General features: G+C 37.1%; 1 long non-coding RNA gene across 5 annotated transcripts in view; it reads right to left on the bottom strand.

Moving 5' to 3' along the window:
- LOC105375463 (uncharacterized) overlaps positions 1-17,399 on the bottom strand; it is a 51,730-nt gene that overhangs the window by 20,265 nt on the left and 14,066 nt on the right. For all 5 annotated transcript variants that reach the window (XR_001745336.2, XR_001745335.2, XR_001745329.2 and 2 more), the window contains one exon: positions 434-512. This is a non-coding gene — a long non-coding RNA (uncharacterized LOC105375463). The remainder of the gene's footprint in view (positions 1-433; positions 513-17,399) is intronic.

The following is a 17,399-nucleotide window of genomic DNA, read 5'->3' as shown; positions in this document are numbered from 1 at the left end:
GAGTGAGCCCAAGAACTTTGATGACAATGAAGGCAGAAGAATCTGGTGGACGCAAAGGATTCACTTCTTATAATGAATTCACTCATCCCATTTGCCTGTTAATCAATGGGTGTTTTAAAGATGCCAGTTGGAGGAAGTCCAAGTGTTCAATTTTAAAAATGCCTATTAGATTAATTACAAGAAAGTCTCTCTCTCTCTCTTTCTTTCATCTGTCATTTTTTCTCTTGTTAGGGGTATGCAGGAGGTCTTCTAATAGACCAGAGAGAGATACAAGCCACAATTCGGGAAAATATCCCAGTAGACTCCTCTCTGCCTTATGTTTGGCATTCTTGAAATCTACGCTATCTGTCTTGAAATCTTTGAACAATGTACAATAATCTTATGCTTGCCCAGGGAAACCTGTTCCATTAGATGAGGTGAGTTGGTTACATACCTTCTTTGACTTGTGTTCCCAAGTGATCTTATTCCAAATATGACTTGGGGACACTTGTATGTGCCGTTCTGATATTGTCCTAAAAGGAAATTATTTTGGAAGTAAAGCCACTGATAAAATCAGCTCAGGAAAATGCACTTTGCAAATATGAGAATATAGGCATTATTAAAAGCCATGCTATAAAAATACCAATGGTTATTTTTACTGAGAGTAGTGTTAAATTTATGGGAGGCTATTGTTTTGGACTAAGCTCTTGCACTAGGCCCAGAAGAACAGACCAAACCAGAATGGAATCACTAGTGCTAGGTCCCCAAACTGGACTTTAAAATCAGCCAGTTAGAAAACAAACAAAAAAACCCCCAAAAAAACACAAAACAACAACAACAAAAAACAGATTCACAGCAATCAATTAAAAGGGGCCCAGTCAACCTGAGCTGACATAATAAGAAAGTCCCCTGGCTCTGCTTTATCCTTTTAAAGAAAGTAACTTTGAAACAACCAATCGGCTTTCTGTTCCTGTTTCTGCTTTCTTCAGGCTTTTCTGCCTATAAAGCCCACTGCCTCTCCTCAGCTTACTAGCGTGCTTTTCTGTTTCATAGATGGGATACCGTCTGATTAATGAATCACTAATAGTTTAGATCATTAAACTAAATTTGTTGAAATTTTTATTTTTTGACAGTAGTTACACAAGAACAATAAAATACCCTTAAGAGGAAAGTGAGAATATCTCATCCGAGAAATGTGAGACAGACAGAAAAAGGTTTAAATAATTGTATTCAAAAGCATTATGTAAACGACAAATAACACATGAAAGTCTAATCTGAAAGGAATGGGAATTAATGTTATAAAGGGAGACAAACAAAAATCAGGTTTCTTTCCACATCTCAACATGGAGGATTTTCCTTTACCCTGGCCTCCTATTTCTGTGTGCAGAAACTTGCTTCAACATGTCAGTCCCAGCTCTAGCTGTCCTGATTCACTCCTCCTTAGAGGGAATGAGCTCACCGGGCAGACTCTGCCCGGTGGGGACTGTCTGGGGAAGTCCTGTCATTCCCCGGGTCTGCGTTGGCATCACTGCTCTGACAGTCTCTTTCAGGAGTTACGTGTTGGAGGCCAGTGACGACTGCAGATCTAAAGCCACATTTTAAAATCCACTGTCTGTGAGGCAGTGGTCTGACTCCTCTTCTCTTTTTCAATTGGTTCTGATTTTAGTTAGGAAAGGAAATGGTTGTTTGTAGACCTACTAAAGTTCCAATAGCTGATTATAAAACAAGATTCTATGACATGCAAGAGTATATTGGAGTCAGAAAAATTAAATAGAATTTATTTTCCTGAGAAGAAACAAACTGAAAAAAGAAAAACCAAACCTCTTTATGTTTATTTGTTTGTACCGATATACGACATCAGAAAGGCAGCCGTATAAAAGAGAATCAGGCTGGAGGGAGCTTAAGCCTCCACTAAATGGGGATTGATTGACCAGAGAAGAACTGGAACTATTAAAAGGCCTGAAAGAAGAAAAGAATTATGAATTTTGCTCCTCTCTCCTTCCAAAAAAAAGTAAATGCACATGTTTGAGAGGGAAGCATGGCCATAGATATTGTGATGCCATGGGGAAATCGATTTCAGGCTTTAAATAAGGATCCATCACTGTGAGAGGCCATGAAGCTGTGCCCAAAAAAACTTCCTGGTGAACCAGAGGAGGAAGTGTTCTCTATGGGTAGGAGAGAGCTTCATTTCAGAGAAAAGAAGGAAGGACTAAGAGAGTTAGAGGCCGGAGGGAAAGAAGGGACAAGTAAAGGGAGTGGAAAATGGGTTGACCAAAGACAGGCAGAGCCATTCATACGCAGATCTCAGATGAAGCACTATTTTCATTTGGACTAAGAAAAAAAAATGGTGACTTCTTAACTCTTATAAACTGAGCACTACTCATTGAAAACCCTGGTATCAGTGTGCAAGAACTCGGTAGGGACTTTAGAATGACCATGTCTTTAGCTAAATAACAAGTGACTGAAATTCAGTCCCTTCCACAGCTGCTTTATCTGGCAAACATGTCTTCTCCTCCACTACCAGCCCCCCGGATAAAATACACCTGGCCAACTCCTGCTCATTCAAAACTCCATTGAAATGGCTTCTCCTTCAGAAGGCTTTCCTCATCCCTTTCAATTCCCATTCCCCTCACCAACCTTACTTGTCTCCTCTCAGATTCTGACTGGCTGGCCCAGGGTTTAAGAACTTCAACTCTACAGTCAAAACAATCTCTGCAATTTGCTGTCTGCGTGATCTTGGGCAAGTTATTTAATCTCTCCTTAACCTTAGTTTCTTCATGGATAATAGCTGGCAAATGATAGTATATATTCCATAGGGTTGTTGTGAGCACTAAATAAAATAATGTACATGGAGTGCTTGACACTGTGCCTGGACACTGCCTGACAGTGCCTGGACTCAGTTAAAGGTGGTCATAATTACTGGGCCAGTCTTTCCCCTTCCCTACATGGCATTTACCACATTCCCTTTCCACTGTCTATCTGCCTATCTATCTGAAGATCTGTTTGCATGGGGACATTGAATTGGAAGTTTAATTCCTAGTGCCTGGTACATCATGAGGCTCCATAAATGTTTGTTGCATGAATTCGGAGAGTAAGCCTCCCCATTCTCTACCATAAATGATACTGATGTCTGTGGTTGTATTTTAGAAAGGACACATTAGGCAAGAATCTGCCCAAGTCAAGCGATACCATTTTCTATTCTTTAAAAATATCTGAAAAAGGAGATTCTACAAACTCCTTTAGTAACATTCTACAGTCAACACTTTCTCTAAGTCAAACATATGCCTCCATTTTAAAATGAAAGACTAACTCCTAATTTTTTATATCAGTTGAAAACAAAAACATCTGCTTTAATTCCCTGTATTCTCTCATACATGTAAACATTCATATTGGCTGTTTATCATTCTCTCCTTATTAAAACAAACCTATTTCTTTAACCTTTTCAAATAGTCTTTTCATGCCTTTTAATAATTGTCCTTCTGAAAAATACTGTGTCATAACGCATAAAAACAGTGAGACAATTTTTGCAGTCTCAGAAGTGGTTCATTTAGGCTGGAGGCGGTGGCTCACTCCTGTAATCCCAGCACTTTGGGAGGCCAAGGGCAGATCACCTGAGGTCAGGAGTTCGAGACCAGCCTGGCCAACATGGTGAAACCCTGTCTCTACAAAAATACAAACATTAGCCGGGCGTGGTGGTGGGCGCCTGTAATCCCAGCTACGTGGGAGGTTGAGGCGGGAGAATCGCTTGAACCTGGGAGGCGGAGGTTGCAGTGAGCCAAGATGGTGCCACTGCACTCCAGCCTGGGCAACAGAGTGAGACTCCATCTCAATAAATAAATAAATAAATAAATAAACAGTTAAATGGGAGGAGTCAGATTATGAAAGTATATGAAAATCCCAAATTCCACATAATTTTCTCTGTAAGCAGAAGCAGCCCCTTCTTCCCTTTGTCATGAGCCTCTCCACTGATTCCTTGGAAACTAATAACAACCTTGCCTAAGATGGTTACCTCGTAAAGGAACTAATGTTCTAGAAATAGAAATATGTAAGAGCTTATTCCTTTCCATGCTTATGGCATATGAAATATAATATTTTACTGAATAGGCCACATACTGTCTCACAGATTTTCCTTCAGCTTAAGTAGCCATACCTACTGTCATGTAGCACCCTTAACTTTTCCACGGTTGGCTGAAGTAAGAATTGGTGTCCTGGCTAGAGGAAACCTATAACAGTGGTTCTTAATATTTAATGGGCTGTGACTTACTTGAGGATCTGATGAAAGTAAATCGTTCTCTTTTTTAAAGAAAGCACATTTTCACATACACACCCACAATTTAAGAGAAATCATGATCTCCTAAACAAACTTAAACCCTCGGGTAAAACTTCTCTAAATCAAGATGCTCTGATGAAAATTATAGTTTTTGATTCTGCATGCTAACAAAAGGCACTAGATCACCTTGAGAACTATAAGGAGTTGCCCTTTTGGGTAAGTTATCTTTGTGTCATGGAAGAGAGTAGCCATTCTCTAAAGGGCGTGTGCAAGATCCATGGGAACTGAGAGGGTAGCATCCATTAGCATGTGAGTGCGTAGATGTACATCAGGAAATGTACATGGTCTAATCAGAACTTTCATGTTTTGAGGATTTAAAAGAAGAAGCTTCCTGATGATCAAGATAAAGATTGTGAAATAACGAAAATCCAGAAAGTACTCAAAACCTAGCTTGTGACTTGGAAGAGGCTTTGCTCCAATGAGAAGGGAGAATGACCATGGCAATGGACATTGTTCCAGTGCCTATGGCCATAGCCAGAGGAAAGAACAAAGCTCACCATCCAGCCTGAGTCTGTGTGTCAGGCTAACAGATTCCTATGCCTCTGAGCCTTAGAACTTGAAAGGGCCTCATAGAAATACATCTAAATACAGCCAAATAGAAGGCCTGAAAGTGACATTGAGTCATCATATCTAGAACTCAAGAGAACTTCAGAGATTATGTAGCTCAAAACTATTTATGGGGGCAGAAACTGAGTCAGGCTCAGAAAAGTGAAATGAATTACCCAAAGTCACACAGCAAGTTCATAGCAGAGAAGTAGAGAATCCCAAGGTTCCAGTGTTCAGCCCATCATGATACTCTAGTTACTGGAGTTCTTGTCTGGAACATATTTTCATAATAAAACACCCACTTTTAGGATATGTAATTAACTTGAAGAGCAGCTCCAAGTTTCACACTTAACTTTAATGTTATTCACATTTATTTCATCATTCTCCTTAGAAATCCAATTTTAACATTTTACCAGTATATGTAGAAGTTAACTTTACTTCCCTTAAATTTAGGAGTTCTACGTTATTGCTATTGCACCCCTGTGATTTCTCTTTCTCCTTTTTAATGACTAATTTTGATATCAAAATACAGATATACACCAGGGTTCAATAGTCAAGAATCTAATCTTGCCTCTTTCTATTGGTAGTTGTAATCACTATTACAATTGCTGAATATGAATATGCTGAATATGCTAAATTTTCCCTCTTTAGGAATAACCCCTCTTTTCTTAAAATACTCTCAATTTTCTTTCCTTACATACGTACCTGATGAAACTTTGCATAAACCTGATTGTTCACCTTTACTCACCACCATTCAAGTACTCCAGTCTCTTCTTTTCACTTCCACATCTCTGGCAGTTCATTTTTGAACTCTTTTGCTAGCTCCGAATCTTCTACTATATGTCTCAAACTTGGAATTTTCAAATAACAATCGTGGTTTATTTTCTCACTAAACAATTGCCCTCAGCAATCTCACTCATCCCAGGCTTTGAATAACAAACATCAACCTCTTCTGAACTATTTATTAAACTGTCTACTTGACATCTCTCCTTAGTATTTGTTTTGTTTTGTTTTGAGACAGAGTCTTGCTTTGTCACCCAGGCTGGAGTGCCATTATCCTGCCTCAGCCTTCCGAGTAGCTGGGACTACAGGCATGCGCCACCATGCTGGACTGATTGTTTTATTTTTCATAGAGAAAGGGTTTCACCATATTGGCCAGGCTGGCCTGACCTCAAGTGATCCACCTGCCTTGGCCTCCCAAAGTGCTGGGATTACAGGCGTGAGCCACCACATCCGGCTTCTTTTTACTATTTCACAGGCATCTCAATATAATGTATCTAAACTGAACTCTTGATCCTTCCCCTAAACTTTGCTTCTTCTTCAATCTTATCCTACGCAATTATTAAAGCCAGATACATAGCCATTGTAGTGGAGTGAATAGGGATATGTCCCCTAAAAGATATGTCCATATCCCTGAACCATGAATGTGACTTTATTTGGAAAAAGGGTCTTTTCAGATGTAATTAAATATCTCAAGATTATATCATCCCGGTTATTCAGGTAGATCCTAAATCCAATGACAAATGTTTTTATGGGAGAAAAGCTGAAAAAGATTTAAGTGAGAGAAGAGGAGAAGACTATGTGTAGACAGAGGAGAAAATTGGTGTTTTCCAGCCACAAGCCAACGAACGCCTGGAGCCACTAGAAGCTGAAAGAAGCAAGGAAGAATTCCCTCCTAGAGCCTTCAGTGGAAGTGTGGCCCTGTTGACACCTGGAGTTCGGATTTCTGCCCTTTGGAACTGTGAGAAGATAAATTTCAGTTGTTGTAAGCCACCCAGTTTGTGGTCATTTGTTACAGCAGCCTCAGGAGACTAATAGAGCTATCAACCTGAATACTCCCCTTTCTGTTATTCTTCTTATCCAATCCATCACCTCCCCAAGAATTCTGCTTCAAGAATGTCACTTGAATAATGTGACTTTTCTCAAATTTCTCTTCCAACAATTTATCACTTTAGTCCAAGCTGCCGTTATCTCTTGCCTTGCCAACTGCAATAGCCAACTCTTTATCTCCCTATTTCTACTCTTGGATCCTCCAATTTATTCTCCATATATGAATAATAACCAATTTTAAAATTGTAAAAATATAAAATACATTCTTTTAAAAATGTAAAATGGATTTTCTCAGTTCTCTGCTTAAAATTTTCAATCATTTCCTATTACAACTGGATTATATTCAGAAGTTTTAGCATGAACCCTGGGCTCATCCCCTGCCTATTTCTTCAACCTCTTGTACTTCCCACCCTTTTCTCTCTGCAGCTCATTCACTTCCTTCTGTTCGTTAAACCCACCTATTTTTGTCTGCCTCATAGCCTTCACCCATGCCATTTCAACCGCTTTCAATATTTTCTCCCTGTTCTTTGCCTGGTGGCAGTCATACTCATTGTTCAGTATAAATGTCATTTGCTAAGAGAGGCATTTCCCAGTCCACAGATATGTCCTGATGATGCCTGTTATGCTTTCACATAGAAACTATACATTTCTTTTACAGAACTTACAATTTCCAATTATACTGATATACTAGAGACTATCCATTTAATGCCCACCTCCTCCACTGAACTCCCCATGAAGGTAAGACTCATATCAGCTTTGTCAGCCACCATAGTTAGAACATTAGTCCTAACTTTTCCCCTAACTTCTAGTCCAGCATCCCCAGCATCCAATAGACAATTATATTAGTAGATTTTACCTTTTTCATAAATTCTGCAAATCTAAACCAAACTCACCAACACACAGACATGAACAATTTGGCCTCTTTTCTGGGCTCCAGTTTTGCCTGTAGTGTCACGATTCCAGAGTGACCCAGAAGAGAATTCCCATGTAATCTTTGGCCTTTGTTCTCCTTTGCTCCTCTGTATGAAAGCAGTCACCAAGTTCTTACAGCTATCCTTTGTCTTATCTCTATTTTTTCTCTTTTGACTGCCTTCCTTCTAGATCTGGTCCACTCAACCTTGGCACTATGTACACTTGGGGATGGATAATTCTTTGTCTTGAGAGGCTGTTTTGTGTTTTGTAGAACAGTTAGCATCATCCTTGCCTTTTACCTTCCAGATACCAGTAACATCCCCTGAGTTGTGAAAAAAAATGTCTACAAGTGTTGCTAAATGTCTCTTGGGAGGCTAAATCACCTCCATTTGGGAGCCATTGTTCTGGAACATAAGCTTATTTCCTCTGGTCCAAGAAAACTACAAGATTTATTGATTCACTTCCTCCGGGCATTTTCTTCTTTTTTTCAGTTACTCAACATATATTTTACTAGACATGTACCATGTGTCATAGAATATCATGAGAAGCATGACTGACAGTCCCTTCATCATACAGCATATATACTAGTTGAAGGGTTCACACAGGTGCCATAATACTCTTCCTAAAGCTTAATGTATTCACTATATCACATAACTGCTCAAAAATTTTCAGTAGTATTATATCACCATGAAACTTATTTTGCAATCCTCAGTTTGCCTTCCACAGACTGGCGTCAGTATCAAATTTCCAGACTAATGTCCCAAACTTTTCTCCAGCACGTGCTCCACCAACCAATGTGTTGATTCATTGTACCTGTAAACTTATTCATGCCCTTACCAACTCCATTCCAACTACCCTGCCCATCTTTCTTTACTCAAACCAGAACCTATCTCCAAAACTCTACCTGTAGGGATTTGTACATTTTGTTCATCTATTAGAATTTGCTGATCATGACATTGATTTGGCACATATCTTGCCTTGCCTTACACTATATGCTAGAAGTTCTTATACATATATCATCCCATTACACTATAAATGCAGCTAGGCCCTAAATATCTCTGTATCCCCTATAACACATATTGCTTTACAGGTAGGAGAAGTTCAGTGAAGATTGCTATATTATTTGTTTAAACATCACCCAACTATGTCAGCAGATACTCCATGTCAATGTCTCATATTTTAAGAGATTTAGCAGCATTTGTAGTTTTAGTTCCATAATACTGGACTAGGGAGAGGGAATGTGGGGGGAAAAGAAAACATTTCACTTGGAGCTAGGAAATATTTTGAGTCTGACATCACAATTAATATGAGGGAAAATGAAATTTTCCTGAAGTGTGAATTTGAAGTTCCACAGGCTCTTGCCAGGCAAGAGCAGGTCCTGGTCCACCTGTGATAGTTGCATTAGAGCCAAGCCCTGCATTAAAAGAGATAAGAGTAACACAGGAGCTAAATATGTAATTTAGAAAAAGCAGAGGCTTTTTAAAGGAAAAGTATGAGGTGCCCAAGGAGTCACTTTCATTGTCAGAGTGAAATTTGGCTCTCTGATAAATTGAAGTCTCACCTGACCCCATGTAATGCAAGATCACAAGGTATTTCAAAGGCTGTGCCCTCCATAGTAAGACATTAATCAAAATCTCCAAAGGGACATTCAGAAAGTTAGTCACCTTTTTTGCAAATTAAATTTTATGATTAAATACTTGTGAACATCAGACTTCTTAAAACTTATACTCATTTCCCATATTTTTATGGAGGACAATTTTTTGTCAGTATACTGATGGAGAGAAATGGTAGTTCTTGAAAGAAGGAGACTATTAGATTAATTTATGTTAAAGTAAAATATGCAGAGACTGAAACAGAATGATTTAGTCATGGTTCCCCTTGCTTCCCTAGCCCACTTCCTTTTCATGCATTTTCAGTGAGATTAGTTACCAAGTAAAAGATTATGAAAAGAAAATCTATCTTTACCATTCATTTTGACTCTTCCACAAATCAAAGGGGATTGCTATGGATTGGAGGCAAAGCTTTTTATAAAATATTTGTACAAAAGTATTGGGTACTTGTGTAATTTTTTATATGCATAGATCATGTAGTGGTCAAGTCAGGGTTTTTAGGGTATCCATCACCCAAATAATGTACGTTATACCCATTAACTAACTTCTCATCATCCACCCTCCTCCCACCCCATCACCCTTCTAAGTCTCCATTGTCTATAATTCCACTCTCTACATCCATGTGACACATTTCTTAGCATCCACCTATGAGTGAGAGGATGCAATATCTAACTTTCTGTGCTGGGCTTGCTTCACTTAAGACAGTGACTTCCAGTTTCATCCATGTTGCTGCAAAATATATGATTTCATTCTTTTCATGGCTGAATATAATGGCATATTATATTCAGCCATGAAAAGAATGAAATCATATATTTTATATGAATAAAATGGAATATTTTATATATATAATAACATTCCATTATATATTTAACAATATTCCATTAAATATAGTATATATAATATTTCATTATATAATGGAATATTATTATATATTATTATGTACATATTATATAATGTGATACATACACCACATTTTTAATGGGTTCAGGAAACTTGGTGAAAAACATCATTTATCTCTGTTTGGCCCATGCTATCTATCTCTTTAGTATACTATTGTTTGGTAACTTGGCAAGAGTGTCAGGACAAAAGCCTATAGCTACCCACTCACAAGGAGGCTTCTTAGATGCTCAGTGGTGGGAGTAAGATAGGACGAAGGTGTGAGCCAATTGCCTGAATGAAAAGGGTATACTGTGTTACTATCAGTCATAGTTGCAGAGTTTTAAAGAAAGGTTTAAAGCACCACAAAGCCCTTTGAGTTTTGAGCTATTGCTGGTAGTACTGGAATGAACAATTTTGTTCTATTAAGTGCTTACGCTTCACCCCAAGCACAGTAGTCTGTCTATTCCCAGTTTCATCTGGCTATTATGTGCTCAGAAATACTAACATCATATTTACAGTTGATTTGTAAGCTTCTGAAATTCTCTTTCACTGCCTGCCCTGATTGCCCAATCACCTCTGCCCTTGATCATGGTCTGCTTCTACTAACACAACATCTGCCTCCCTGGGGTGGTCTGCTCCAGGTCTGAGTCTTTCGGCAAATATTTATTAAACAAGTGCAAGAACCCAGACCCTTTGCTGGTTGCTAAGGACGCAGAGTTAAATAACAAGAGTCCTTCCCTTTTAGTTACCCATAGTCTAGTGATATTAAACAAAGATCTACTTTCTCTTGACAAATTCCTTAATAATGAGAAGGTTAAAAATAAAAGTTTTAGTAATTAAATGAAGCAAAGAAAAAGCAGAAGACAAAAAAAGATGAGACAGCGTAAGATGAGAAGAGCCTTTGCTATTCTGGCTGTTCTCACAGGTTATTTCCTAACTGAAAGGCTCCTCTCCTTTCAGAAGTTTGGCTTCTCCACCTACTGCTTCAATGCTATTGTTCTAAAAATACAAATTATTTCTTCCCCGTTCATGCTCTTTTCTTAGCAAAAACATCCCAATTACAAGCCCTCAAAGGAGGCAGCTCCATTATTATAGGGGCCATGACAACAACCAATTGCACCAGAAGTGGAAAAGTGATGCAATTCAGGTTCATCGGAATGCAGGATCTTGGGAATTTGACATTGACACACCTATGTCAGGTAACAGTGATGAGCTCACAATGAGGTCATGTAGAGTCCAAGCTGAAATCAAAGCCATAGTGGGCCCAAACCACATGAAAACTAAAATAGTGAGGGAAGCAGAGGGACTGAGATGGAGAATCTTAATCTTCAAAGCAAGGAAAAATAAGAGGAAGGGGTGTAGGGAGAAGAGAGAGAAAGGGAGAGAGAGAGAGAGAGAGACAGAGAGAAGAGAGAGACACACAGAGAGATGTTCATATGAAATGCAAAGCAATGGAAAGGCATTAGATTAGGAATCATGGTTTCAATTGTCAGCTTTTCCTTGACTTTCACAGATCATTTTTTCCTTTGTGCTCTAAGTCCTCTTGAAGGGCACTTGGAAGAAAATAAAATTTCGGCCATGGAATGGAAATCTAGCTATAGGTTTCTACTTATATTTCTGAGCACAAAATAAATCCACATTTCATGGAATTAACTTGGAGAATTTCCACATTGTATATGAGATCTGATCCTCCTAGAAATATTAAAAATTATTCTGGATGGATCAGAGTACTTACTAATGTGTAAACTGGTCAAGTTGCTCAACATCTCTAAGCCACCATTTCTTCATCTATAGAATGGGCATAAAAATATATTGTAAGGTTTCTGTAAGGATTAAGTGAAATAACATATGTAAAGTGCTTATCAGTGCCTGGCACTTGGTAAAGCACACTATAAATGCCAATCATTATTGGTAGTGACATTTCTAATAATGGTGTTATCAATATTATTTTTATAATCAAGTTCACTTTCACTGTCATTTCTTTACATCTTTCCTGTTTCCTGATACTTCCTGACCCCCAGCCTCCTATGGCTGATGACAGACATCTGTATCAGCTCTTTCACAGTGTCTATGCTCTGAAATTACCGGTTTTTCAATCATTTTACCTTTTCTTATTCCTCTAACCAACAACCCTATGCCCCCATCAACAATACCATTGTCTACGACTTCAACTATAACCTAAAATAGAAGCAATCCAACTAAAGGGCATAATTAATGTTAAAGCTCAAATATCTGAACTACTCAGGAGTATTGGCCTCTTTCAAATAATACTTGTTAAACCTTAAGCTGGAAAAATTTCAGAAAGTATAAATAATACATTTTTTTCTGCAAGACTTCTTAAAAACAGGAAAAGGCCAGAAAAGACTAAATCTGAATTGTTTTTAAAAATGAATTAAAATACATGTAATAGGCCATTTTACAGTAATTGATTTCTAATATTTATGAGCAATGCAATGCTCTGGGCTAGAAAATTTAACAGTTCTTGAAACTTAACTATTTCAGCTCTAAAACTTAAAAAAATAAAGTGGAGAGGAGCACTCCATTGTATTTTCTTGCAATCCTTTCTAAATTGCCACATGGGTAGGGAGGAGGTATTTTGAAAGAATGGAAAGATATAAAATATGTAGCCCCATTAGAAACAGAATTACATTCTGATTCTGACATTTATTTGCCTAGTGGCCGTAAGCAAAGTCTTTTACTGTCAGCTCCTCATGTTTTGAAATAGTGACAATATTATCTATTCAATGTAATATTTTTATTAGCATTTTGTATTTTATTATGGATATACAGACTGGCAAATACAACAGAAGTTAACTGTCATTTATTCAAGCAGTCAACTATGATAATATTGAAAGTAAACATATCTGGTAATTTGTTAGAATCTCTTTGATTAGACCAGATACAATGTAACTACATTCTACCTTCTTGAGTTCCAAGATGCTTTGTGATATTTGTGTGTAATATAGTACCAGAAATGTATCCTATATTTAATAAATGCTTACGATTTATGGATGTCGACCCAATGATTTCTTTATTTATTAGTAGCATTTATAATCTAGCACCTTTGTCAATGGGTAAGAACTTTTTTACTATAAAATTTTTAGTGGCAATGAAAGTCAATTTTTTTAGTATTATATGATAAAATGGAAATGCAAAATTCTAAAGCTTTATAATCCATATTGAATTCAGCTTCATTTGCTTGCTCTGTGGGTTACAAAAATCCAAACTTCCAAGTTGTAAAGGGATGATTTCCATATTCCTATTATAATCTTTTATGTAATTAATACATGAACATATTCTCATTGTAAAGTTTAATCAGTTGAGAAGTTTATCTTCAGCATCGCTTCAGCACACTCTCCCTAGCCCCATTTGCCTCCCAAAAGTATAGCATGAAGAGCTTTGTTTTACATCCCTCCAAAACCTTTCCTAGGCATTTGTTCAAAACCATACACAAACATATTTTCACAAATGTGATCAGACTTTATACATTTTTGCAACCTCATTTAAACATTTTTGTAGGGTCTTATGCATCTCACATGTCAGTATATAAATTTTACTTACAGTATTTCATGGTATGGGTGTAGCATAATTTAGTTAGCTTTCTGTTGGTGAGCATTTAGATGATTGCCTTTTTTTTGCTCTTAAAATAATGCTCCCTGAAAATTCTTGTTCATGGTTTTTTATGTAGATGTACAATGTTTTTTTTAAAGATAGACCTTAATAAATGGAACTGCTGGCCGGAAGGATAATAAGCATTTTTAGCTTGCATAAATTTGGCCAGCTTGGGAGTGCCATTCTGTTTTCTCCCCACTCTGGTTCTCCAGTATATCCGAAATAATTTTTGACCTCTCCCCGAAATCTTTGCCTTGTTGATCACATTCCTAGTCTAATATGGGCTTAGCAAAGTTCTGTCATGTTGCAAGAGCTCTGGGGAGAGCATATAGAGTCATCACATTGAGGAACTCTGTCATCTCCATCCTTTTTTGGATACATAAATAGGCTTAAAGACCTGGAGAAAATCAGGTCCACTGCTCAGCATAATGAAGAATTTTATACTCTGTCCTTTTCTCCTCTTGGAACTTGCTATGGGTTTCAAATATAAGGAAGGTACTTTCTTTTTTCTGATTGATTTTTTTGAGAAAAAATAATTTTGCTTTATATCTGGCTGTAGATATGCATAATATAGATGTAGATATAGAAAAACTTGCCTTCTTTAAACAGTGAATATATATTTCTTTCAAATGCCATGAATCACTTTTGTCTAAAATCATTTTTTAAGACAACAAAAAATTAAAACAATTCCAAACCACAGAAATTACTCAGACTACATCTTCTTCTCTCAAAGCTGAATTTAGTTAGGTCAATGCTAAAGAAAAAGAAAGAAGTAGACACTATTTATGTCTATATGTTTGTTGAGGTTAAAACATAATAAGCCTTTATGTACTATGTAATGTAGCCTTAAAATAATTTTTAAAAATATTCGTTAAAATAGAAAAGAAGCTCTGAAGAAAAACAATAGGGAGGCTTTAACATAAATATCTAAGTCTCTGGTAAATTATGAAGGTGAAAGGTAAATGGAGTGTAACTGTTCTTGAATAATTAGGGCTCATTAGGGTACACACTATAAAGCAACTTTATTCTTTTCTCTTACTCCCTTCAAACTCAGTTAGATCTTTCCTCAGTGTTGAATGATATCTCAGGCAGGTCACAGAGCCACAAGAGCAATCACAATTCAATAATTAAAACATCCAGTCCAATGCAATAATCAGAACTCCAAATTTCATTTAAATGAAAACTTTCTCTCCTTCCTCAGAAACCAGGCAGGAGGTGGGGTCACCCAATACAGCTTCTCTCTTGTGGGGTCTTTTTGCCTCTCCAGGTAGTTCCCTTGAGTGGGGAATCTTAAAATTTCCCAAGTATGTCCCCTTTCTGGGAACAACTTGACTCTTGAGAAACTCAGGCATCCTTGCCCTATTCCGTGGAAGAGCAGTTTGTGCCCAAGCACTCTGATTTCCCTTTACTTCTAAAAAGAGACAACTCCAGTCTTTAGAAATCTTGAAGGAAGTGTCAGGCACCAATTTCTCCAGGGGACATGCTGATGTCTTGCTATGATTCTCTCATAGCCCTTCTCACCTGGCTGAGGTGATGGAGAAACCCTTCCTCATAGTTGGCAGTAAATAAAGGGAGGTGGGGACACACAGTGATTTAACAGTTTCCTCAGCTTCTGTGTCCATGAAACTTGTAGTCATTTGGCTTGAGGTGAGGGGATACAAATGCATCTTCTTTTTCAACTCTTCCACACATCATCTTTTGCCATTGAAAGTACGTGACCACTAGGGAATTGCCTATCTTTTGAGGGGCATGAGGCTGATACAGTTTTGGAGAAGCCTTAAAAAAAATCCAAAGTAACAAATAAAAATTAAGAATGAATGTGAATTCTTATTTAGAAGATAAAAAGAGGCTGGGCGTGGTGGTTCACACCTCTAATCCCAGCACTTTGGGAGGCCGAGGTGGGTGGATCATGAGGTCAGGAGTTCAAGACCATCCTGGCCAAGATGGTGAAACCCCATCTCTACTAAAAATACAAAAAAATTAGCCTAGCCGGGTGTGGTGGTGGGCACCTGTAATCCCAGCCACTTGGGAGGCTGAGGCAGATAATTGCTTGAAATCGGGAGGTGGAGGTTGCGGTGAGCCGAGATTAAGCCACTGCACTCCAGCCTGGGTGACAGAGCAAGACTCATCTCAAAAAAATAAAAGATAAAAAGAAATCAGAACTAGTTACAAATTTTGAAAATCTCACAAATACTATAAATCTCACAAAATAAAAAATATATATTTTTATTAACTGCCTGACATACCTCTAAAGCCATATAACTTTTGGCCGTCTATTCATTGATCTCCTCTTCATATTCCAGTGATTTAGAAATATGATTTTCTTCAACTTTTGTTTTAGGTTCAGAGGTACATGTGCAAGAAATGTGATTTTTCAATACACGTAATAGGAAGGTATTTCAATTTTTGCTCTGGCATGGTTTATTACATTTTTTATTAGTTTAGAAGTTGTTTCTACCTTTATACATCTCTATTGGAACTGCCATATAAATTTTTGGGATTCTTATTCTTACAAATTATTGTAACATGCAAAAATTACTATTAAGTTTTTTTCATATTTGAGTTATAAAATCTCAGGATGTTTCAAGTTTTCTGGTTCAGTAATATTAAATACTCTTTTAATTAACATTATTTATTGTCTAGAAAGGGCCCTGTGCAAGAGAAGAGGCCCTGAAGATTAATCTTCATTAATTTGCAGCAAATCCAATCCAGAGTGACCTGCTGATGTTGGAAGAACTGGCTTTATATTCTCCTCATATTTATCATCTAGGCCATCCAGCCCCTCGAATTGCCATTTAAGGATGATGCTTGGCACCTAAGCCATTGCTCTTAGCCTTAAGAAAGGTATTTAGGACTCAACTGAAATTGAGACTTTAAGTGATATTATGTAATAATATATGGGATATGAATAAGATGATTATGTTAGTTTAAAAAACTAAATCAGACTTTGTGCCCTATGGACAGAGAACAAATATTGCATCTGTCAAACTTATAAGACACTGTAAGGGCTGCAATCTCTGACAACAATGCAGAAAACATACAAAGTCATTATAAAGAAATATTAGAAAAGATGAATCACTCAAACACTGAAAATGATTATTCTCAGTAACAGTAGGGACAAACAGGAAATAAAAATTAGCAATTACCCAGAAAAGAATATTAATAAAATCACTACCTATAAAGGTCTATGGAATGGTGTTAAAGTTGTAACTAAAGATATACTGAATACATTAAAATTTTATTATTAAACAAAAACAATAAAAACAATATAAGCATTATCCTAAAATATAAAAAGGAGAATAATATATATAAGAAATACAGAAGCTGAGAGTACATTTGTATTCAATAACTGGAAATCAGATAAAAGTAGGAATCATGAATAAATATTGAGTCAGTAGGCCTTGCCTCTCTTGAGGATTTGCTTTGTTTTCCAACTAGGAATCAGATTTGAGACTTAGGCACTTTAGGGAATAGTGTAATGAAGCATCCATTAGCCTATTTATATGTGAATACTGTTTCAGACAAGACTGAGCTGAAAGTTAGAAGAAACTAGCAGGAGATATGTCACTATTTTGAATTATTTTATTAGACATTTCCCGTTCATGACTTGGTGAACCTAGTGCATATTTCTGTATCTATAGCTAGTACAATAGATTTATAACTTCACTATAATTGGCTTACTTTATACTTAAATGTATATG

This window comes from Homo sapiens, chromosome 7, assembly GCF_000001405.40.
Source record: "Homo sapiens chromosome 7, GRCh38.p14 Primary Assembly".
Taxonomy (NCBI): domain Eukaryota; kingdom Metazoa; phylum Chordata; class Mammalia; order Primates; family Hominidae; genus Homo; species Homo sapiens.
Note: the sequence above shows the minus strand (reverse complement) of the source record. Positions and strands in the feature narration are given on the sequence as shown.